We start from the raw sequence: 25983 nt of genomic DNA on the forward strand, positions 1-25983 counted from the left end.
AGATTGCTATTTCTTGTTTTAAAAAGCAACCACATTGCTGACAGGAACTTTGTCATTTAGTAAATCTATGTCCTTCATTATGAAAAAATATTAAATTAGCTCTTGATTAAAAGCTGATGAAGAGGAAAGAGTTAGGCAGCAGTCACCTCCCTTTGCTATTGCCTTTTGGTCATTTTCCTAATTCTGCCTCTTCAAGATTGAATGGGGGTGGAAAGCTGAAAGGGGGGGTGGAAAGCTGAAAGGGGGTGGTGGTGCTAAAGTGACTATTCAATTCCGTAATGAAATATCAGCAGTTAGCTGCTGTAGCAGCATATCTCAGTCCTCCAGAATTAAAGGCAATTAAGCCTCCACATTGAAATAAAATATGTAATCCTAAGTCTAAAACAGTCTTGATATTCACTTTGTAACTATTTCAAAATATCCCTACAGTCTTTCTTTCTAAGAGGCACTTTTTAATGATGAGGAAAGGAAAAATAAAGGAAAGCTGGATCCCAACTGATATTGTCACTGATTAATATCATCTTTGGACATTGCCATGAGAATCTGAAATATTAATGAAGTCATGTGGTAGAACAGTATCTGGCTGCTTCTAAATTTGCCCTAATTCATTCCCATTTTGAAATGTTCTCATCAGAACAAATTATTATGCTTGTAGAAGGTTATTAAATGTCACTTATCATAGGGACTCTTTTTGTGGTTCAAAAGCCATGGATGGGTTTTTGGATCCATGAATGCCCTAAATTGCAAGTCATATAGGTATTCGTGAACATTTTTTTTTTCTTAGGGAGATTTTTTAAAAATCAGATTTTAATTTATACTCTTCATTACATTTTCAAAGGAGTGCATAATTCAACAAAGTTTAAAAGCACTTGTTTTATAGGATGTATTGTACAAGTTGGTATGGCTATCCAATTAAATACTATGTTTTGTGTCTTTGTCCATTACTTAAGTGAAGATATGTGACCTTAAAGTAAGAATACAAATTTAAACAAGGCACTCATAAACAACCAATATCATTATTTCAAGTTATATCTCATTTGATATTTATCATTGAATGATACAAAAAGTAAACAGATAATCTGAAAATACCATATCATAGTACTTTCTTACTTGCTGTGTGTAACAATAATTTGGTCTGGAGTCACACATTCAGTTTTCGCATTTTAAAGATTAAAGAGATAAGATCAGTATAGTGGGGTAAGTTAAAAAAGATAATACATATAAAGTAATTAGCAGCGTATCTGGCACTTTAGGTGAATTCTGTTAGTGGTAATGATAATTATTATAAAATTACAATATCTCTCATTTTTTGAAAGCTTATTTTGTGCCATCCACTCTACTTGTTGATTTATATATTACCTCCTTTAACTTTTCTATATTCCCATAAAAATGAATTATTATCTCATTTTATAGTGGAGATTTAGAGAGATTCAGTTACTGATTGGATCATATAGCGAATAAATGACAGTCAGGATTTGAATCTGGGAGTTATATTCTGTAAACACTATATTATTCTGAATTTTTAAGCACTATCTGAACCTAAATCATGTTTACTGCAATGTTCAGTAGTTAAAAGGAACACAGCTCATCAGAAGCTATGTATGGTGTTAGGAAACCCTTCTTGGAGATTGAACAGGCCAAAGAAAAAGTGTTGTAGGGATCAGGAGCATTTAGATTGTTACCCAAGGGACAAACAGAACAGTGTGAGGGAAAAATGAAATGGCCAACTGCTGGGAAATTAGAATAAATCACTTGAGATTCTTGCTATTATTAATGCTTACAGATTTATATCGCACAAAAAGGACATGTTTTAATGGTAAGAGTATTAAATAAAGAAGAGGATGAAAAAGGATTTACAGCTTAGGGCCTTGGAATTTATAACTTTTGTCTGCCCAAAGAAGGATCAATAGGCAATACTATGTGCTGAAAATAATATGGTATACAGTCACGTAAAGTGTTGTTACCACATGAAGTACAGAGGCCCACTTTTTATGTAATGTAGCCACTCATGCTAAAATATTCTAGGTTTTATTTAATTGTCTGTTTGCCAGATCTGGAAGTGCTAACAGGAGAGGGAAAAGAGCAATTCTTTTCTCTGGAAATGCAACCACTTTTATATATTCTAGGCAGGCAATAAAGAAAAGAATTTGCCCCCAGAATAATTCTTTGAGGACAGGAATTTTGTTTTCTTCATTATATTTCTCTCACTTAACCAGAGTGCCTAGAATGCTAACTGCTAAGTATTGTCGGATGAATGAATACCTTCCAAACTACACCATTCTAATAATTATTTATGGCTTATTGTATATCAGTGCTATTTCATAGAGACAAGGAGATAAAACCACAGGACTGGCCTTTAAGAAGTTTGAAGCTTAATGGCAAAAGAGAAGAAAAGATGGCTAACGTCAGTTGGAGAAACATAAGCTTGAATTCTTCTTTCTAATAGAATATGTTTGTCTTGAGATGATTGCAGTTTTATTGCAGCACATCACTGTTAAATGGAAGTGACTTTCTCCTTCTGAACTGTTGCTTGCAGGAAGCTTTGGAATGGTCTGGTACATGTTTTGGCTTTTGGTGTCTTATGAAAGTCCTGCAAAGCATCCTACTATTACAGATGAAGAACGTAGGTACATAGAAGAAAGCATTGGAGAGAGTGCAAATCTTTTAGGTGCAATGGAAGTAAGAAATTTATTATGGTGTATATTCCTATCTTATTCCCATCTCGCCCCCATTGACCAACCAAACTATCTTACAAGTTCTTCCTCAGCAAAACTAATTTGGTATCAATCATAACTTCTTTTATTTTGGTCCATCCATATTCTCTGACTTAGGAATAATAGCTATTTCCTCCATCTGTCATTTATTTTTTTCCTTTATCCTTTCTTAAGCATTTAAAAATGTACACTGGGTGATAACTATGACTGCAAACCTAAACAATATTTTTAAACAGTTCAATATGGTCTATATTTAAACAAATACAATAAATAGTTGTTCATTTTACGTTAAAAAAATCCAAATCAGCCATGAAAATGGCAATTTTTGGTTTGTTGAATACAGTAGTCCCCCCGCATCCTGAACAGATCTATTCCAAGACCCCCCGGGTTGCTACCGAACCCTACATATAATGTTTTTCCTATACATACATACCTATGATAAAATTTAATGTATAAATTGGGTATAGTAAGTGATTGACCACAGTGACTAATGCTAAAATAGAATTATAACAATATACTGTAAGGAAACTTAAGTGAATGTGCCCCCCCCACCCTGTAAAATATCTTATTGTACTGTACAACTAGTAACTGAAACCTCAGAAAGTGAAACCGCGGTTAAGGGAGGACTACTATATTCTAAATGTAAGTTTAATACATGTGTATTTATGTCATATGTAGTTTAGGAGATACTGAAGCATTAGAATGCCAATAATAGACAGCTGATATAAAAGAATTATAACATAATTTAATTATTTTATTGATAAAATATCATTATCTTTCAGGATTATTACTATGAATATCAAGCATTATAAAGACAATGTTGTGAAGCCCTTTTTTCTGATGATTTGATTTCTTCTGATTTACCTAAAAAAGAGAGAAAACATAGTTCTATTTCAATAATGCAAATGTTTTATTCCACATAACACTGATACATTGTACATAGTAATTAATACAAAAGCCACCTGATGTTATATTTTAAAAAGGTGGCTGGGCGTCGTGGCTGGGCACGGTGGCTCACGCCTGTAATCCCAGCACTTTGGGAGGCCGAGGCGGGTGGATTGCCTGAGGTCAGGAGTTTGAGACCAGTCTGGCCAACATGGGAAACCCCGTCTCTACTAAAAATACAAAAATATTACCCGGGCCTGGTGGTGTGAGCCTGTAATCCCAGCCACTCGGAAGGCTAAGACAGAGGAATTGCTTGAACCAGGGAGGTGGAGGTTGCAGTGAGCTGAAATCACTCCACTGCACTCCAGCCTGGGCGACAAACAAGACTCCGTCTCGAAAAAAAAAAAAAAAAAAAAGGAGAACACTGTTTAGTAAAATTAGTGTATTTAGACATATTGAGGCATTAGGCGATCTGATCAATGATAGTTTCCTTATGCTAAGAGCTGAAAGGTGTCATACACTAGTTGAAGAAACAATGCCCCTTACATATTATGCATTTGTTCTTTTAAAACAAACACCTCCTGCTCCCTAGTCTAGGTGTGTTTGATTCTAGCTCAGATTCTCTACTTCATTTGTAAGAGAATGCCTGTCTTTGACATCTCATCATAGGTTAAAAAAAAAAAAAGTCTATCACCCATTATTGTTGAGCCAAATTGGCCCTTAATGAATAAGAAAAATCCCATATCATATATAATTCAGAAGTTAAACTTCAATGGTTTAAACAAATCTTTACTGTGTAGTTGTTCCATGAGTTAGCTTGGCATTAGAACTTTCCTCTTTGTGTTTCCTTCTATAAATAGACTAATAATTTCTTACGGTGGCTACTCAGAAGCAAGAGGTGATATGGGAGTGGGTGGAAGATTGCTAGTATGCACTGGTGCCCACTAGCTGCAGTTATTTTGAGCAGAAGTTCTGAGTTTAGCCTCAATTTCTAGCCCCAAATTAATGTGATCAGCCTATATCCTATTAATTCATTATGTTCTTTTATTTGCCAGTTCTTGAGAGGTCATATGTCTAGATTAGAAATAAATTTTAAAAATAATCAGAAATTCTGCCTAAGTAAAAACTAATTCCTACAAATGACCCCAGAAAGAACAGCAGGAGAATGAAAAAACAGCATAATCTTCAGCTCCCCACTTCCTATACCTCACTGCTTTTCTAAAGACAATATTTTACTTCTTACTGATGTTTCATATGTTCCTGTAGCTTCAAAGTAAATTTTAAAATGAGATTATGTGGGAATAGAACTTGCATTTTAGTTAATTTGAACTTTTTTTATTGTGAGTGAATTTAATATACAGCAAAGGAGAAAGAGTACTGACAGGAATATCATATACTCATCACATAGGTGTAACAATTATCGTCTTGTCATATTTATTTCACTTTTGTTTTGATGAACTATTTCAAAGTAAATAAAACATCAAAATACTTTATCCATAAATACTTCATATGCATATCTAGAAAAATGATATTCTCCCTCACTATCTCAGTACTACTATCACACTTAACATAATTAAAAACAATTCTGTATCATCATTTAACTCCTACATCATATTCAAATTTCTAATACCATCTATATTCTAATATCTAACCTATATTCAAATTTATTTTAAGCTGTTTGTTTTGAATCTGAATTTGATCAAGAATCACACATTGCAACTTATTGCAAAGTCTTTTAAATCTGTTTTTCTTTAAAATATATTTAAATATAGCATATGTACAGAAAAAAACACTAATAGTAAACAATCAGCTTGCTTAATTTTTATAAACTAAACATAAACAGGGAGTTCAATAAATAGAACATTATCAGAATACCATAATCTTCCCTTTAATCCGCCAACAATTTTTTAAGGTATAAGGTGAGATATTTTTCTATTGCTTTTGATGAAGTACTTTACCATGTAAAGAATAAAGTTCTTAGGAAAGATGATCCTGGTATGAATGAAAGGATCTTTGCCCAACAGGGAAAAGTTCTTTTACTTTTAATAGTATTCTGGAGTCATTTCTTATGCTAACATAATACTATAATGCAGACATTTCTGTCTTCTGACATTTTTATTATCTTTGAAATAAGTGTACGCATCTGGAATTATTTTCCCAGAACATATTGATTTCTTTTTAAAAACTGTACTTTTGGAACCCATTTATGACACTGCCACTAAAATTTTTTATCCAAAGCCACAGAATTCATTACATAGTATTAGGACAGATTTTTGTTTTTGTTTGTTTCTTTTTTTGTCTTGCATATATTTATGATCACCACATCATAACTTCCTACTGTGTTGCATTTAAAGTGATCTTTAAAAGGCTTAATTACAGCCACAACCAATACTAGCAATTATGAGGTTTTCCATTCAGGAATAATTGTTAAATCCACGTGAAAGGTGTTTGCTTCCTCTTTCAGTAATTTAGTTAGGTCAAGGATCCCAAGTTAACTTTTAACAAAGTTATTTTAGGCTACTGTTTCCTCACCAAGCAGTATTTTGGTGTTCAGAATAAAGTAATTGAGAAATAATTAGGGAATATGAGAGATATTTTAATGGCTAAAAATATTAGTCTTGGGGGAGAATATGTACTTGCTTACATTTTGGCATACACTGAAACTTTAAGTACAATTAGGTTTAATTTTTTAAAGGGGTCATATGCAAAGCTGATCATATTTAGGTTGTTAATGTTGAATGCTTTGAATATTTTAAGTAACTAATTATGTGCCAAAGGTACGCTGGGGGTAGACAAATGCTTTCACCCAGCTGTTCTGAGTTTTATAGAACCTTGAACTCCAGTGTCACAGAATTTATAGTTATAGCTACTAGCTATCAAGATAATTTATGATTGATTGATAGTAGAATAATTGACTTAGATTGATTGGTAGTAGAATAATTGACTTCAGGTAGGGTCTAGAATACTGTACTCTTAAGATTTTGTATCTTTCTTTTCATGAATACATTGGATTTTCAACGTTTTAAATGAAATGTTTTGGATATCACAAGCTCACTGATGTGGCAGTGAGTTTTTGCTGAGATATGGTCTATCACCATTAAAAAAATAAAACAAATGGAAAAAAAAACCTTAAGAAACTAGGACCTATGCTTTTGGAATCAATTTTCTATAATTATGTAATCCTGCATATTCCTAAAGCTGGAACAATCTAATAAGTTGCAGTGATTGAGATCTTATTTTTTTTCTCTTCCAATGATTATTTACGTAGCTAAGGTTAACTGGGTGGTTATAATTAATGCTTCACTACATCTTCCTACTTCCTACTTATGACCTGTCATATACATCCTGAAAATGCAAAGCACCTATTATTCCCACTTAGGTTTGAAAATATTTAAAATGGTCATAATGTCTCTCTTTTTGGAATTTCAGAAATTCAAGACTCCATGGAGGAAGTTTTTTACATCCATGCCAGTCTATGCAATAATTGTTGCAAACTTCTGCAGAAGCTGGACTTTTTATTTATTGCTTATTAGTCAGCCAGCATATTTTGAGGAAGTCTTTGGATTTGAAATTAGCAAGGTATGTAAAATGTATTCTTATATAAATTGTGGATTACCTGTGTATTTAAGTGAATACTAAATTCATTTGCAAAAATTTTTATCTTCTAATTTTCAGAGATTATTCATTTATTCATTAAACAAATAACTGCTAGGAAATAGAAGCAAAGTAAAATGTTTCATTGTCTACTGTATTCTGTTGTCTGCTAGAATTGCTCTCTGGTACTGAGAATACAGGCAAAACAAACCTAGTTTCTGCCTTCATGGAACTTAGAGCCCAGTTGGAGCGAGCAGCGGTGTAATCTTTTCCCTGTAAATAAACATAACTCCCTTTAAGTCTCAGCTCACAGACAATGTAACAAACAAAAAAAGTATTCCATTCAAATAGAATTCTACTTACAAATTTCCAATCTAATTATTCTTCAATGCTCTTAGAACTCTTGTCCAGCTACAAGATATGAGGATTGTAAAAAGAAAATCTGAAAACACTCTTATATTTTGTCCATCCAATCTATTAATTTAACAAGTATTTGTTGAACACAATGTGCAGAACTTTATGTGAGATGCAGAAATAAAAACATGGTTTCTGTCCTCAAAATGCTCACAGCTTGGTGGTGTAAACGTGAAAGTAAGTTACCAATTAGAATACAGCATGCTAACTTCCACAGACATTTGTTCAGAGCTATGGGAATATAATCATTTTGAGATTTTCTATGAGGATAAAATGAACACAAAAATACTACTCTATCTTTATATAGGAACTCGAAATTTAGAAACTACTCTCATATTCATGAACAACCTTTGTTGTTTGACCTGTTGAACAACAATCGTCATTTCTATTGAAATGATGGGGAAACAGAAACTAGAGAAAGCATTTAAATTGCTTAAAGCCACGCTAGTAATGCACGACAAAATCAAGTTTAGACAAAGATTCTTTGATTTCTGTTTAATTATCTTTACTATGCCATTCAAATTCAGGTAAATCATATATCCATTCAAGTATTTAGTGAGTATCTGCTCAATGCCATCTCTGTGCCAAGCCCTTTGCTAAGTCCTGAATACATTGTCTGTGCTGGCAATGGTCTTGCTATCTCTCTTCATGTCATTACATAAGTCCAGCTGGGCTCGCTATTCATATTCTATCTCTACTTGAAAGACTATCTGAGACCTGGGACTGAAGAAAACCTCAGTTTAGGAGTAGCTATTCTAAGAGCTCTTTTGTAATTCCTGTTTCTAAGGAAACTGTTTCCTCCATCCCCGAGAAGAATGGCTGCTTTAGACAGAGCTCTTCTCTCTAGAGCTGATCAAACATTCCAGGGTAGCCTTTGGGAACTCTGAGAGGTGTTATACTTCTCAACAAAGGCTGCTGGAGGTGTGCGTCCATTTTCATAATCTAGGACAAATATGATACCGACAGGCTATTAATAAAGCCAGTTCTCGGGGGCAGAGTGAGGAAGCCAACTGATGTTAATGAAACTGTGTGGTCATTTTGGTCCTGTAGCTCCAATTAATTGAGAATGCTTGAGTAAAAGCAATGGTATTTTGCAAAAAGTAATTATAAATCAACCAGCAGATGGGTTGATTTATTTCATTCATTAGTTATATTTTTAAATAAAATTGTGGATAAATTCACACACACAGATTGGTCTTCAGATACTAATTAGATTAGTTTAAAAAATTCTGACTTAGCTGAAAAAATTGTATAGGAGATGATGGAGAACATAGGGAATTTGCTTTGGGTCTAGACTGACATGGCTTCAAATCTAAGTTCTACAACAAAGTATTGGTATATAATCTTGGGCAGCGTTTTGAATAATTATCGGCTTCAATTTTCTTATCTCTAAATAATGGTATTAACTTAATACCATTAAATGATAATGATATTATTTAAGAAGTGCAGCCAAATTTAGGTGAAGTAAGTAAAATATTTACATGGAGGGTCATTCTCTGCAACTTTAGTTAAATTGGGTATCCTACAGAAAAAAATATGAGTGCAATGGCTTAACCTTCATTCTAAGTATACTGACTTAGTTCAGACAGCACTGTATATATAAATAAAATTGTAACATAGATTTTATATCAGTTAGCTATATGTTAATTGTATTAGTTAACTGAGATATACATATATATATCATTATATATTGGCATAGGCTAATACAATATATATCAGGTAAATACTTTTTTCATTTTTTAAAACAAGTATATATATATATACACACATACACATATATATATATAATTTAATATATTATATCAGCCTATGCTTATATGTAACATATTCAGGCCCTTGAAAATGGCATATCAGCGGGTCAGTGCTAGGATTAACCAGCACTTTCAAAGGTCAGATTATAGGGGCAAGCCAAATGAGAATAGACATCCATTCCTTTTGAGCTTCCTATTTAGGGGAGGAGAAGAACAGTGTTGGCTGGTTGTGCTTTGCTGCTATTTCTGAACAAGACGTGGATCAGATAGGAAGACATACGATCTAGACTATGACCCAGAAAAGCTAAAAGAAGGATGAGGCAAAAATCTAATTACCTGGAGTTTCTATGAAGAATAAATCAATTATAAGCTCAAAAACATTTATCCTAGCCTTGCAAAACCTTAAAATAATAAGCACACTTGTATGTGATTGACATGAATGATCTTTAGGAAGGTTTTGATCATTTTGATCATGTGTCAAGTGATTACTCATGATAAGTCCCCAAAAGCCAAGAAGACCACTGAATAGCTCAAAAACTTGAAACCTCTTTGGCTCTTTTGAGGTCAAATACAGAGTATATCCACATATTAAGAAAATAGGAGAGTCAATACCCTTAAATGTTAAATCAATATGCTAAAATAGTCTAAAACTTATCTCATTAACCCTGTAGATTTTTAGCACCTTGCATTTTCCATAGTGCTTTGCACACCCTTTGCTGAAAGTGTGAAAAAATAACCATAGCTTTGTTCCTTTCTTATCCAAAGTAGTCAAAATGATTGTTCAAATAGATAGTAAATAACAGAGGATTTTCAATTAAAAAACTTTTCAGATGTATTAAATACTGGGTCAGAATGAAAGTCGTTTATGTGGACTTAGGCAATGTGGTTACTCCCAAACTTTTAGCCTGCCTTTATAAATGCCAAAAATATGCCATGTAATTCTATACAAATCCTAACATAGTGTCTTTCAGAATGTTTTTGTTGTTGTTCAAAGGTTTCTTTCTACACATTGACTGCTTGAAATATATTTACTCCATATTAAGAATAAAAAGCCTTGTACTTTTCTCAGGATGCTAGTCTCAAAAGCAATAATGATTTTTTTTTTTAATGTCAGTTTACCTGACATCTTTATTTAGGTACCTGTTGAGCCCCTGCTACATACCAAGTTTTGTACTAGACTAAGCACATTAATATATATTGTCTGATTTTATTTGATTTTTCCTTCTCATGGCAGTGGTGCTCAGCATAAAGGCTAAGAGCCCAGTCTTTCGACTCACGTAGAACTGATTCAAAACTTGGCTCTCACAATCACTTAAGTCTTCTGACTCTAAATTTTTTTTATTTAATAAGAACACTATTAAAATCATCCATCTGGGATGGAAGAGATCATTCTATAGCCTGAACAGTTAACCTACTGTGGAGTCATTTACTGTCTCAATTAATTATTACAACTCAAATCCATGATTGTGATACCTTACTATACACCAGTGTAAAATAAAATGGAATCTTTGTCTCAAACCTTCGATAATCTAATTGGAAAGACATACTTAAACACAAATTATGAATGCCATCTGCCAACAATTGTTCTTCAAAGTATACTTAGTAAAAAACTTCCTTATGTGTTTACATTCAAAGTTTATTAAGTCCACGTATGCGGTAATACATAATTCAAATGCATTTTATGTATACTTACTGTCCCCATAATGCTTACAACACAGTGCTTTGTGTGTAAGTAATGGTAAAAATATGTGTTTAACTGATCTTGGTGCGTAAAGTTTTAAATTAGGCTATTTAGCATGAAATTAATTCAGAAACTATATGCCACCATACAAAAATGTGATCAAGTATTGATATTTGACACAGAAAATACTTAAAATTGAAGAAATTATCTGCATTACCTGGGATCTTACTCTATAGAAATTATGTCTGTGCTATAAAACTCATGATATATATATTTAAAGTGCAAATATGCATTTTTCCCATATGAATTAAACATGAATTTAAAATACAGCTTCTTCAGGATGTGACAAATGTATTTTTCCTCTCTCTCTCTCTCACCACTTTTCCTCTCTTTCACTAAGGGTGTATTCGTGCAAACACATTTAACAATATCAGAAGAGTTGATTCATACTCAAAATTTACTGATGCATTACGTGGCAAAAAAAAAAAAATTACCTTCTAAAGGAATCCAAGTAAATTTAGCTTTTCTAATTTATTCTGTGGAAGGCATTACTTTTTCTAGGAATGAGTAAGTGATCATTTGGAAAGATTATTTTTCCTTCCTTTGTCCATAAAGATGTGATGACAGATTCAGAAACAAAGGCCATTAAATTGCCCATATTATTTATGGTTATGTCTATTTCTCTCCCTTCTTGTTTTTCATCAGGTTGGTATGCTATCTGCTGTGCCACACTTAGTAATGACAATTATTGTGCCTATTGGGGGACAAATTGCAGATTTTCTAAGAAGCAAGCAGATTCTTTCAACTACGACAGTGAGAAAGATCATGAATTGTGGTGGTAAGTACATAAGTGGCACTAAGGACATGTTTTTAGTTCAATCAGTTTAACCTACATGAGAGAATAACTTTTTCTACACATATCAAATTACTTAGATGCAGTTACATTTGTGCCTTCATTATTCACTTAAAATAACTTCCTCATATTACATCAAATTTTTCATAACTCCTAGTTTTAAGTAACTGCTTAATAATGCCATTTGTGGCCAGGCACGGTGGCTCATGCCTGTAATCCCAGCACTTTGGGAGGCCAAGGTGGGTGGATCACGAGGTCAGGAGTTCAAGACCAGCCTGGCCAATATAGTGAAACCCCATCTCGACTAAAAACACAAAAAATTAGCTGGGCATGGTGGTGAGTGCCTGTAAGTCCAGCTACTTGGAAGACTGAGGCAGGAGAATTGCTTGAACCTTGGAGGCAGAGGTTGCAGTGAGCCGAGATCACACCATTGCACTCCAGCCTGGGTGACAAGAGTGAAACTCCGTCTCAAAAAATAAAAATAAAAAAAATAAATAATAATGCCATTTGTATTTATTGTAACTAACTCACCTCTTCCAATCATTGAAACTTTAGGTTGTTTTGGATGTTTTTCTTTGTTTGTTTTTGTGTTTTTGAGATGGAGTTTCACTCTTGTTGCCCAGGCTGGAGTGCGATGGCATGATCTCGGCTCACCACAACCCCCGCCTCCCGGGTTCAAGCGATTCTCTTGCCTCAGCCTCCCAAGTAGCTGGGTTTACAGGCATGTGCCACCACACCCAGCTAATTTTGTATTTTTAGTAGAGTCTGGGTTTCTCCATGTTGGTCAGACTGGCCTCGAACTCCTGACCTAGGGTGATCTGCCCGCCTCGGCCTCTCAAAGTTCTGGGATTACAGACATGAGCCACCGCATCTGGCCTGGATGTTTTTATTAAACACAAGGAAAGCTTCATGAATCTCTAGGGTAAATTATTATGATTATTATGATTATTATTAGTTTTGAAGATAGACTCTCTGAAGTGGAATTTCTAGGTCAATAAGTTGGAACATTTTTAGCAGTTTTGGCTCATTGGTAAAATTTCAAAAATTTCTGAAGAATTTCTATGTGTTTGCTTCTGAAGGTTTTGGCATGGAAGCCACACTGCTCCTGGTCGTTGGCTATTCTCATACTAGAGGGGTAGCAATCTCATTCTTGGTACTTGCAGTGGGATTCAGTGGATTTGCTATATCTGGTAAGATATAATTTTTTTTCTTTGTACTTGGGACATTCTGATTTTGACTGCTGATAAAAGACACATACATATACCTTTTTATAGATATCTTCATATATATATTCTATATGTTGAATAATAGTCAAATATTTCCACTAGAAAATGAAAAAAATAAAATATTGAGAAAACATTTAGATTTGTTAATACTCAATTTCCTCCTGGACTGCCTTTTTTTGTTGTTGTTAAGAAAACATTACCTCTTCTCTGTGGAGTGAACATCACATATTAAGTATTAGATAAGAATTCATACCTCATTCTATTCTCATTATATCCCCGAGAGAAATTATCACAAAGTAATTAAGCACGTGTTCTGTACCCAGTATATTTTAAGGAGTTGTGATGTGTGGTTCTATAGGTATTTACTTCTAAGACGTTTAGGATGCCCTGAGTCAAAACTTATGTGTGTATTTCAGGTTTCAATGTTAACCACTTGGATATCGCTCCAAGATATGCCAGTATCTTAATGGGCATTTCGAATGGTGTTGGCACATTGTCAGGAATGGTTTGTCCTATCATTGTTGGTGCAATGACAAAGAATAAGGTAAGATGGTCAAAACAGATGTTTAGTCATAGAAGACAGTTTCTCAAAATGATAATCTTTTTGGAAAAGAGTTAAAATATTATCCTTAGCATTTTCTTTCTTGTCCAGTCACCACATCTCTGAGTGGGAAATATAAATGAGGCTCAGAATACAGTATCTTTTTAAGAATTCCAAGAAAGTCCATTTCCCTAACCAATAACCAATATGTTTCTCAACCCTTTTTAATAATTCTAATACCCCTGATGTGATAAAAACCCCTTTTGTCTCTAGCTTATTAAAATACTCAAGCAGATGTCTTCTGAGCTTTGTTTGTAAACCTCAATTCAGACTCCTCTGCAGTTGTCCAAGGAACAATATTATCATCAGCTATTTGTACTTATATGTGTATGCAGAGCTTTAAAATTCTGGTTTACTACAAGTAAAGAAACAAAGGAAATGGAATAAAAAGATAAGTAAATCAATGGAAAAAAAGAGATTATGAATATTTTAAAAATCAGCAGGCCATAGATATATTTGTAATTTTATTTCTAAACTTTTAGATTTAAAACATTAAATAATAAAAGTAATAGTATTACAGAAGTGTTATATAGTTTTTGCTTTACATAATCAGGATATGGATTTTTCCCAAATATAGTGTTTTATGAAAACTCAGTGGTGGTGCATTCAGAGAAGATGTTAGGCGTTTAAATCATGGGGAGTCAGTTCTCACAGTGCTGCTTTTTCTCACTGCAGTCACGTGAAGAGTGGCAGTATGTCTTCCTGATCGCTGCCCTAGTCCACTATGGTGGAGTTATATTTTATGCAATATTTGCCTCAGGAGAGAAACAACCCTGGGCAGACCCGGAGGAAACAAGTGAAGAAAAATGTGGATTTATTCATGAAGATGAACTCGATGAAGAAACAGGGGACATTACTCAAAATTATATAAATTATGGTACCACCAAGTCTTATGGTGCCACAACACAGGCCAATGGAGGTTGGCCTAGTGGTTGGGAAAAGAAAGAGGAATTTGTACAAGGAGAAGTACAAGACTCACATAGCTATAAGGACCGAGTTGATTATTCATAACAAAACTAATTACTGGATTTATTTTTAGTGTTTGTGATTAAATTCATTGTGATTGCACAAAAATTTTAAAAACACGTGATGTAAACTTGCAAGCATATCAACCAGGCAAGTCTTGCTGTAAAAATGAAAACAAAACAAACCCATGAGGTTACCATCAAGTGCAATCTGTAAAATTGTGAAGTTCCATCATTTCCATTCAAGTCATCCATTCTTGCATTTGTGACTTAAAGGTTGACTGGTCAAAATTGTAGAAACAAGTAGTTACCCATTGGATTCATATGAGCTAAAACTCATCACTATTTACTAAAGCACAACATCTCATCCTACAAAAGTTAAGAAGCCAAAGCTACTTGATCATGCAAAATGCACTTATATATTTGTTACACTGTATTGCAAGATAGCACACAGAAGTTGGCTGCGTCAAGTAGAGGCGACATTTATTAAGTGAAAATCATGGAGTTGGGATATCTCTCAATTAAAGAAATACATTGTGAACTATCAGCTACAAAGTTGTACTGAATAACTATTAGAATTGCATAATGTGAGATATTTTGTTAGTCCTCAAAAGGAATATCTTGCAGTGTTTTCTATGAAATGCTTGGGCACAAACACTTATTTCTGTGAAAGAGAACATGTAAGTTGAGGGGTATGCTTCATGTTCTTCCATCCATTTACCTAATAGTATGAAACAGTTCACATTTCAATAAAATCAAACTTTTCATGTAGCGTATCACATAACTTTTTTGCAAAAAATATAAAAAGAAATAAACTTCAATGTATTTTTTATTACAACTTTGTACTGGTTGTAACTTGCATTAGAAAAAAAAGAGATATATACACCACAAAGAATCTAATAAGAAATTTATTATGGAGATATAGCCCTTAAAATGCAATATTAAGAACAAAGAAATAGAAAATGGTTTAGATATCTTTCTTCCTTCATAATTAAATACTATATGAAACTTGTGCCACAGAGCTATATATAATATGAAAAGATTAACTTCATAGAGATATTGTAAGTAGGTAATTTTATTATTTAAAGTCCTATTAAGAAATATTTGTCTTAAATATATAGGACAATACATTATATTAAAATGGTCTCTCTCTATATATATCTGTATATCTTATACATGTCCATACACAGAAACATAATAAACAATCTTCACACGAAACCAAAAATAGCATACACCTAATGTTGGGTTAGGGAATTGCAATTTCTACTTTCATAGAGTCATAGAATTTTAGGTGGGGAAGAGGCATTTTGCTTGTCATTTCTTAATATAACTCAACAAGAATTGCAACATTTGTGTACCAAGCAATAAGTGCAATGCATAAAATTTCCTGTCTGTATATTACCTTCATTTTGCTTGTAGTAGCTGTTTGGGTGGTTGGAATAATTTTATTTTTCTTTTAAAAAAGCTAACATCAGACCCCTTTATAATGTCCTAAAATTATGATAATACATTTCCCAATTCAACTCAAAATATTATTGGTGTATTTTGTCTATTCTGGATATTTGATCTGTTCAATGTACTGTGCTAGTGACTGGAGGCCCTGCTACTGCAAATATAAAACATAAAGTTTGTTTAAAAAAATGCAAATCATTCTTTACCTTAAGAAAAAAAAAATACCCTTTGCTTTGTGCCTCAAAGTGATGTAATGTGATCACAGCTTTTGTTGTGTTGAATGAAAATATGTGGACTGTCATTTTGTTGCAGCAAAAAAGTGTTAATAAAATGCTCTATTTATCCTTTTTTTAAAAAGCAGTGCATTAATCATACATTAATTTGGATTTATTTAGTATTTAGCTTTAATGTGAATTTAGCTGGTGGAGGCCCCAATGAAGCCAAATCTAGGCTTCAAGAACAACAACAACCTTTGGAGCCATTGGGGATCTAATGAAAGAACATGGCATTCTTTAGATTGTGTGGAATGTGGTTCCATAGAGTTTTAAATCAATAAAAAGGTCTCCGAGTGAAACTCCAGATTTCAATGAGTTTTCTCACAACTGCTGCTAAGTTTAAAGAAGAATTTAGGAAAAAACTAAAAACAGGTCACATCAATATTACCACCTAATTTTAATTGCACACATACCCTGTGCTAGGTAACTGTCCTAGTCATTTTTTGATATAGGATCTCATGTAACTACACAGTGGCCATCCAAAGTAGGTGCTCTTTTTATTCCCAGCTTGTAAATGAAGAAACAGAAATTCAGAAGGTTTGCATAGCTTTATCAAGCTAAAATGGTATAATGACATTATATTATAATGTTTCAGCCAAACCAATTAGCAGTAAGCAGGCTTTATCAAGGCAGCCAAAAGAATGTCTTTGTCACTGGAATGGAAATAATTTAGCTCAGATTCCCTATCTTATAGATATGTAAAAGACAATAGGGGTAAATATGTATAGAATCTATGTATAGAATCTATAAAATCTAAGACTCATAGAACTTTACTGCCCAGAGGATTTAGGAGATGATTTAGTTGATATCTGTTGTTGAATGAATGAGAACACTGAAGGCCAATAAAAGGAACAGACTTGATCAAGGGACACAGAGATTGTTATGGAATTGGAAAGAAATTTTGATGATTAGCTGTGCATTTATTTTTATTTTCTCTTTAAAGAAGGTTTCCATTTGAGTTAATTAAATGACCATTTATTGCTTCTACCACTACTCCCATGTCCACCACTCACATCTTCTAATCTTCTGCATAAAGAAACGATGGCCAGAGACCCAGCCTAGTTCTTAAGGAGGCTCACAGGCCATTCTCTGCAGAACTTGGTAATAGGAATAAAAATGACTTGAATTTAACACTATATAATTTCTCCAATTCCATAACAAAAAGTTTACATTTCTCATAAGAAAATTGTTCTTACCTGGGAGAGATGGAGCATGCCTGTAGTCCCAGCTACTCCTGAGGCTGAGATAGAAAGATCACTGGAGCCCAGGAAGTGGAGGCTGTAACACACTATGTTTGTGTCTGTGAATAGTCACTGCACTCCAGCCTGGGCAACAGAATGACACCCATCTCTAAAAAAAATTGTTCTAATGATGTCTCCAAATATTACCACCAGCCACATTCATTTTCTCATCTCTCAACCCTAAAAATTCATTGTCCCCTTCTCCTCTTCCTCTGCCTTTTTTTCTCAATTTCCTCTCATTATCATATGTGTCTTTTTTTTGCAGTTTGCAAAATGCTTTCCTATGAATTGCCACATTTTGTCTTCAATCTGCCTTTTAAAATTAAAAGGCCAAGTATCATTATTGGTATTTCTATTTTCCAGGTAAGGAGGGCAGGTCTAAAAGAGTGTAGTAAACTTCCTAAAGATTCCCCAGCAAAGATAGAACTAGAATATCGACTATCTGGCCACAGCAAGAGAGCATTTTCTTTTTACTTTTAAGTCATTTTATTACTTTTTTGAATATAAATGTAGTATTTGGAGAGTCGGGGAGCTTCATTAGGTGTAGGACAGCATTAAAATCAATGAAAATAAAGTAATCAATAATTATTCTACCCAGGGATACGCACTGTTAACATTTGGAGAATCCTTTCTGTGAAAAACACACATAAAACTTACATTCTATTAATTAAATACTATTACATATTATTTAGTTTGCAAGTTCAAAATTATACTTGATTTACTATTGTTACCTAATGTTCATTTAACAGTAGAGCCTGTTCATTTTCTTATTTGAATAATAAAGTTCTATAATCTAATATTCGATTATTTAATAAGAACTATATTTCATCTATCTATCCCATACCTCATTTATGAACATTTTAGTTATTTCCAATATTGGCTGCTATAATCAGTGGTGTTATGAATATCTTTGTGTTATCATCTTTGCACCCTTTTACCTTTATAATGTATGAACCCTTTTGGGAAATGCAAAGTGACATATACACATCTTCAACCTCTATAACCATGATGGATAATCAAGTTAACATCAGTGGTTTATTATTTCTGTATTTATCTACAGGAAATACTACTGGCAAATTGTTATTTTCTGGGGTTCACTTACTAATTGATTTGTTCAACTCAATAAATGTTTTTTAATCACTCATGCTATGTGAGGCACTGAGGATTCACGGGTGAGAAGATGACCCAGTCTCTGAGGCATTTATTTACGTGGCCCCTAGTTGCCCAGCAAGACCACACAAATGTGACTGAGAGAAGCTTCTGGACACAGGGCCCTAAGTAATAACTCTGAAAAAGGAATTTTCTTAAACTTCCATACTCCTGAAGATGAATTGCCTTCAAGTTGCTCCCCATATCAAATTGATTGATTGATTGATCATAGTTTCAGGTAAGGAAGCTTCTCTCAGCCTCAGAAAGCCTCATGCTGCAGGAAGTCTAGGTCATGGGAGATATCAGCATCTAGTGTCTCCAATACCTGAATCTCTGTAGAAGAAGAGATGGTCTAAACTTTTAAGTGTGTTTTCCAGTTCTTCAAATTTCTTTTTGTTGTGTTCCTTTTCTGGGCTTCTCATGAGCTGTAAATTTTCCCTTTCCATTTCTTCCTTCATCTACTCTCAGTTTTAACCACAAATAGAGACTACTAAGATTTAATTCTTTTGGTAGTGATATAATTAGCAGGGACTTTAATTTTTTTTCTTTCTATCTTCATTCAAGAACTCAGACCTGAATTTTCATTCAGCTACTGTCAAAAACACCTTATTTGTAAAGGTTTGTCTAACACTGTTCAGTCCCTTAAAGTGTTCAAGCTTCGCCAAGGTTTTCCCTAAATGCAGCCAGGCATCCAAAAATTGCATTATCTGGATGTTTAATCCTGACCCCTGCCCATATTCAGCATCATTGATTGAATGAAACCCTTAGCTTTCACCAAGAGCAAGCAAAATGAAGAAATCTCTTCAGTCTTGTTAAACTACATTTGAGGACGTGTTTTATCACTTTGCCCAATGTGCATTAGATAAAGATCCTTGCCTTTCTAATAGTTTGAGGAATGCTTTTTGTGTTGCACTCGTGTGCTGTCAACAATTAGACATGAAAGACATGAAGCCGGTCATGTTTCCTTCTTTGTTTCTTCTAGGGAGCTCCAAGATACACTTTTTGACTCGGTTGTTATTTGTTACCTTCCTTCCTCATTTACATTTGGTTTCTGTCTTTTACTGTTTCCTTGTTTAGGTGGTATTTACCTTTGATTTAATTTTAAAAAGACCATGTGAATGAGGTATTCAAGAATGATTATAATAATAATAGAAATAATTTTATAGGGCTTTTGAAATGCTAGCCACAGTTCTCAGTTACACACACACACATATACACACACACATATGTATATGTATATATGTGTGTATATGTGTGTGTGTGTATATATATATATACTTGCTTTTTTTGTATATATATACAAAAACATATATGTATATATATATACTTGCTTAATCTTTACAAAAACCCTTTGGGGTAGGTACTATTGTAAACTTCATTTTATAAATAAAGGAACTCAGGCACAGAGAAGTTAAGGTACTTGTCCAAGGTCACAGAGCTAAAATGTAAAGTTTGAATGTGAACGCAAGCCATCTGGCTTCATATCCTAAACTCTTTATCACTACAGTCCATTGTATCTGATTAGTTGTGTGACTTTTAGAAGTTCCTTAATTTGGCCGGGCGCGGTGGCTCACGCCTGTAATCCCTGCACTTTGGGAGGCTGAGGCGGGTGGATCACGAGGTCAGGAGATCGAGACCATCCTGGCTAACACTGTGAAACCCTGTTAGCCGGGCGCGGTGACGGGCGCCTGTAGTCCCAGCTACTCGGGAGGCTGAGGCAGGAGAATGGCGTGAACCCGGGAGGCAGAGCTTGCAGTGAGCCGAGATAGCGCCACTGCACTCCAGCCTCGGCGACAGAGTGAGACTCCGTCTCAAAAAAAAAGAAGTTCCTTAATTTATCCGAGCCTTGCTTTTTCATCCATAATATGGTACTTTAATACCCAATTAGTGGTTAGTTTTTGACTAAATCAAATAGTATGAAATGCTTAACACAGCACCCTGTGTGTTAACAGTGTAATAAATGCTTAATGTATGTAAACATGTAAGTGTTTAACAAATGTCATTTCTCTGCACCCTTTCCTTATGATGCTAAGTAAATATAAGGTATGAACTCTTCAAGTATGATTACAATGTCAGATCCATCACAATGGACCATTTTGGAAACTCTCTTGAGGTATTTTTATTTTTAACACTACTAAGTAACTCAGATTGGTTACCTAAATTACTTTTCTATTTATATTTTATAAATTTTATGTGACATGAAACAACTACAGAACAATAGGCACTATAAACCACAACACTGATTTTTTTTTTTTTTTTGCTGAAGCCAGAAAGCGTGAAAGAAAGTTCAAATTTGGCCTTTTTTCAATTTGAAAGAATATCTGAAGCAAAGAATAAAATATCAATATTTCTATATTCTGGGAATCCACATATCTATTTTTATTATATTTTATGCTACTTTTCTGTGTTTCAAAATACAAAACCCAGCAAACCAGATATAGTCTTATTGCTCTCCAGTCTTTTATTTTTAATCTCTGTGCTGCCAATTAAGACATTGCCATGATCTTCAAGAATATTTGACAGTTTTCTGGAGCCATAAATTTTAAAGCATTGGCAGAATGTTTTCATTTTATAAAAAAAGGTAAAAAAAGGAGTTATACACATTTTTGAACAGGTTTATGAATCCAAATGAAGTTCTTTTGCACAAAGCCAACAAAAGTGTGCATAAGAATAAATGTCACAGATAAAAGCCATCTTTCCCACAGATCTCATCAGAGTCTATTGGACTGCTTCTTGAGGATTTTAAAAAAGGGGGGCATTGTCGGGGCGGGCTGTCTGTCTCCATAAATGGAAGGTGGAAATTAGTATGTCACCATTAGGCTAAAGGCACATTAATTGTCTCAATTTCAGTTGCAATGGGGATAGCAGAAGAAACAGAACTGCTTGGGTTTGAGCCCTGAACCTGCCACTTCCCTTTGGTAAATACAAGGCATGTCATACCAGATCTCTGAGCCTCAGCTTCCCCATCTGGAAAATAAGGAATTGGTCTGCTTCAATGGTTCATAAAATCTCAGTTCCAAAATTTTCTGGCTTTAATCTCTCTGACAAATTACTGAGTTCCTCAGGTCAACTTGAAGAAATATAGTAAATTGTTCTCAGAATTCAATCAAATATGAGACTACATGTTTACTTTCTGCCTATATTTCTACTGACTTTATTAGCCACTCATTTTGATAACTAATAGGATAGACATTATGGGAGAGAGGGGCTTCTTTCAACCTGATAGGCTTGTTTGTATGATACTCCCTACTCCCTGACTTGTCTAGGAATATCTTGTATATTTTTACAGAATTTTGAATTTTAGAATTTCAGTAAACTCTTTACTACCTAAATCTTTTCCTGTGAGTTGGAATACTTGTATAAAAAAAAATGAGTCTGAGTTCTAATAACTGGTCACACTCAACTTTTACTAGTTTAATGGAATATATTATAGTACACTAGCATGCTGGAAAGAATGAAAATAATATGAAAATTCTTTACCTTTTTTTCTTTTTGAAATGGAGTCACCCAGGCTGGAGTGCAACGGCGTGGTCTTGGCACACTGCAACCTCCGCCTCCCTGATTCAAGTGATTCTCCCGCCTCAGCCTCCCGAGTAGCTGGGACTACTGGCGTGTGCCATCACGCCCAGGTAAATTTTGTATTTTTAGTGGAGACTGGGGTTTCACCATGTTGGCCAGGCTGGTCTCAAACTCCTGACCTCATGATCTGCCCACCTTGGCCTCCCAAAGTGCTGGGATTACAGGTGTGAGCCACTGCACCCGGCCTACTTTATAAATGGAAAGGCTGAAGTCAGAAAGGTGAAGTGACAGTTCATGTCACCCAGCTAGTTAGTGACAGAAGGTAACTCAAACGTACATTGTGGGATTCACAACAGTGTTTCTGTCATAACTGAAAACCACTGTTTTATTCAGTAAGTCCATTAATTTGCCAAACAGCAAATATTTGTTGAGAATGTATTATGTGACAGGTACCAGGAATATTGTGGAGGGAAAAGACTAAGTGGACCCTGCCTCCTCAGAACTCTCAATGCAGTGTGAGTTACAGATAATAAAGAAATAACCAGAAAAATCTATTATAATTCTGGTAGATGCTATAAAAGAGAAGTTAGGTGTTTTAAGAAGGTTAAACAGGGCACGTGACCCAGTCTATAAGCTGGGAAAAATTTGCTCATGGATGTGACATATACCATGAGACCTCAGAGATAAATATGAGTTAGCCTGGCATAGCATGACAGGTAGAAAGTTTCAGAAACAAGAAATGGCATGTGAAAAACACCCTAAGGTGAAAAGAGTTAGATATGTATTTGGTATTTTAGTGTTAGCACTACCCAGATGACAGTGAGTATGCATATAGAGCAAGTGGCATTTATTTAATAGACAGAAATGCTAAACAACTGAACTTAAACGTACAATACTAAAACATTATTTTAAGAGCTACACTCTGCCTATTCATTACTTCATTCAACATCTATTGAGCTATGTGCTGGCCTGTTACTGCACTATGGGGATACAAAAATGAATGAAACATGGTTTTTGCTCTTGAAAAGCTCATGGTTTAGTGGAGAAGAATGTAAACAGAGGTAGGAAGAGAATGTCATCCACACAAATGTAAGAGACTTTTTTATACATATCCTAATTGGGCAGCAAATTCCACATATCAACAGGTAAATAATTTCTTACATGATTATACCACTTTACAGTTTTCAGAGCATTTTAACACAGTGTTTATCATAATTTGCAATGAGGTATTTGTTTCTTTTTAGGAATTTAAAGTATTTCTCCTACTAACACGTAAAACTCATATGGCAGATCTTTTGTTCTAAATGCTGCATACAGGGCATAACATAGATTAGGAGCTCAATAAAAACTTTATGGATGAAAGAAAATGTGGTTATATTTGATTTGGCCAGCAAATTATAGAGATAGGGAGAATGATATTATCCTCCTCATTAAATTAACCTTTCTGAAAGAAGAAAGGTCTGAAAAGGGAAAAAGAGAAGACATTGAACTGGAGTTTGAAAGTGAAATAGGTGTTTGTCCATTTTATAGGTGGAGGAAAGGCATAGAGGTAGAGACTACATCATTAACAAATTGTGGAGGCGTGTCAACCATACTGTTTGGAGATAAGTGAAAAGATAGTGTGATTGGAAGATCAAGTATGTTTAGGAGCAGAAACAAGGCTGGTAGGACTATTAAGCTGGTTGTGCAATGCTTTAGATGCCAGACTAAATTGTTCAAATTTTATCTTATAATTGAAGGGATTTTAGGTGGGGATTAAGATGATCAGATATGTCTAGGACATTACATGGAAGTGGAGAGAGACTGAAGGTGGCTTCTGTATTACAGTGCCAAGGAAGACATGGAGGGGGAAGATGGTATATCCTGGGAATGGTGGCGTGTTTCCAGATGTCAAGCCAAAACTTGACATATTTATTCCTTCCTTATTCACCCACTTACAACTCAAACTCCAGAGCAGAATGTAGATATTCAAAATAGACTGACAAAGACATAATTCATGCTTTCTGCATCTTGCATAATGATTCAAAGGCACAGTGATCCACTTGTCCCTGACTTCCATAACTCTGGACAAAAAGAACCACACACAATATTTATTATGAGAACACTTCTCTCTTTCTCTTTCTTCTTTTCTGAAATCCAGTCTCAAACATTAAGATTATACACAAGGAGAAGAGAAAGTGTATCAATATTATTTTTGTTTTCTGTCTCATACCTAGAGACATATTTATGCTAGAGATATCTCCAGTTTAGTCTCTTTCCAAAAACAAAAAATAAACAAAACAAAACAAACAAACAAACAAATCAGTGCTCTCAATCCTGGGAACAATAGACTCATCTTAACGGTAACGGTAGATTTAACTTAAGCTTCTGACCATATCCCCATCATTTTTTGTGCCTTTAAAAAGATTTTCTTTCTTTCTTTTCTTCTGACAGCATAGTTCTTTATAATGTGCCTAAAAACATGTATGAAAACTTGATGTGTCATTGGAAGGCTTTCAAAGTCAAAATCTCATTCTTCATCTGTATTAATGAACATTAGTTTTGCCTTTATTAAGGATTTATTCTAAAAACCATAGAAAGGCTGGGGTAATACAAACTACCCTCTCACTAGGGGTTACAAATGCAATATGAGAAGCATTGGACTTGACTTCACATCACAACCTCTAGTCATGTATGAACAAACTACCTAATATCTCCAAGATCCAGTACATTCATCTGCAAAACAGGCATAACAATGCATAACTCACTGAATTGTGGTAAAAATTAAATAAGATTATTTGATTTTCAAGCTTTGTAAATCTTTTTAAGGTACCAAACAAATGCAAAATTTTCAAATTCTTCCATCTGGTTGAAGGTGGTAGGTCTCCCAGAGACTTCTAGTAAGAGATAAATATTTAATTGCATGTAAACATATTAAGCTAACTGCAACTATGAATATTTTATCATATATGGCAGATTTTCAGAATACCTTCGAACATTTTCCTTTATTTGATCCTTGTTCCAATGATTTGACATATAATGGAGAAGAGTCATTATTCCCCCTTTTCCAAATGAAAAATAATCAAGATTCAGGGATTTTCTATGATTTGTCCAATTTCGGACTAGAACACAAGACTAGTGCTAATTCAGATACAACACAGTACTCATTCTTGGGATAGAGCCAAGTGAAATGAATCCCAGGAGCAGTGGTAATTGGAAAGAGCTGCTTTCCAGAAAAAATAGGTCTTAGGAACCTACTTAGAAAAAGGGTGTCCTAGGAACACCCTTTGTGGAGGGCAGGAGCAGTCACATGACTGCATGGAAACCCTGTGTAGGGTGGTGAGAAAGGTAGCACTAAGAAGGAAGGGAATGGGTCTAGAGGGCTTGTCTATCATGCTTTTTTCTGTTCACTGACAGCAAGTTATTATTATTTTATTATTAATATTTTATTTATTATATATTATTTATTATTGCCTTATTATTTTGCTCCCCAGCAAACTCACTGAAGGTAAGAACCATCTCTTAGGTCTCTTATATTTTCCCATGGTTCCCAAAACTGTAACTCCTATCTAACTAATACACAATTGCACAAAAGAGAATAGTGTCCAATCCAAAATCTGCAAACTCACAACACCTCTATATTAGTTTCATAGGGATGTCTTAACAAAATATCACAGAGTTAAT

The 25983-nt window shown here is 34.3% G+C and overlaps 1 protein-coding gene across 1 annotated transcript in view; it reads left to right on the forward strand.

Annotated features, from left to right (window-relative positions):
- The window catches only part of SLC17A6 (solute carrier family 17 member 6), a 41123-nt gene extending 24630 nt beyond the window's left edge, over positions 1-16493 (forward strand). Inside the window, exons 7-12 of the mRNA NM_020346.3 lie at positions 2537-2679; positions 7029-7178; positions 11745-11877; positions 12972-13082; positions 13535-13662; positions 14395-16493. Coding sequence (NP_065079.1) covers positions 2537-2679; positions 7029-7178; positions 11745-11877; positions 12972-13082; positions 13535-13662; positions 14395-14730 — 1001 coding nt within the window. The 3' untranslated portion in view covers positions 14731-16493. The remainder of the gene's footprint in view (positions 1-2536; positions 2680-7028; positions 7179-11744; positions 11878-12971; positions 13083-13534; positions 13663-14394) is intronic.
- Positions 16494-25983: the final 9490 nt, after the last annotated feature.

This window comes from Homo sapiens, chromosome 11 (assembly GCF_000001405.40).
Source record: "Homo sapiens chromosome 11, GRCh38.p14 Primary Assembly".
Classification (NCBI taxonomy): Eukaryota; Metazoa; Chordata; class Mammalia; order Primates; family Hominidae; genus Homo; species Homo sapiens.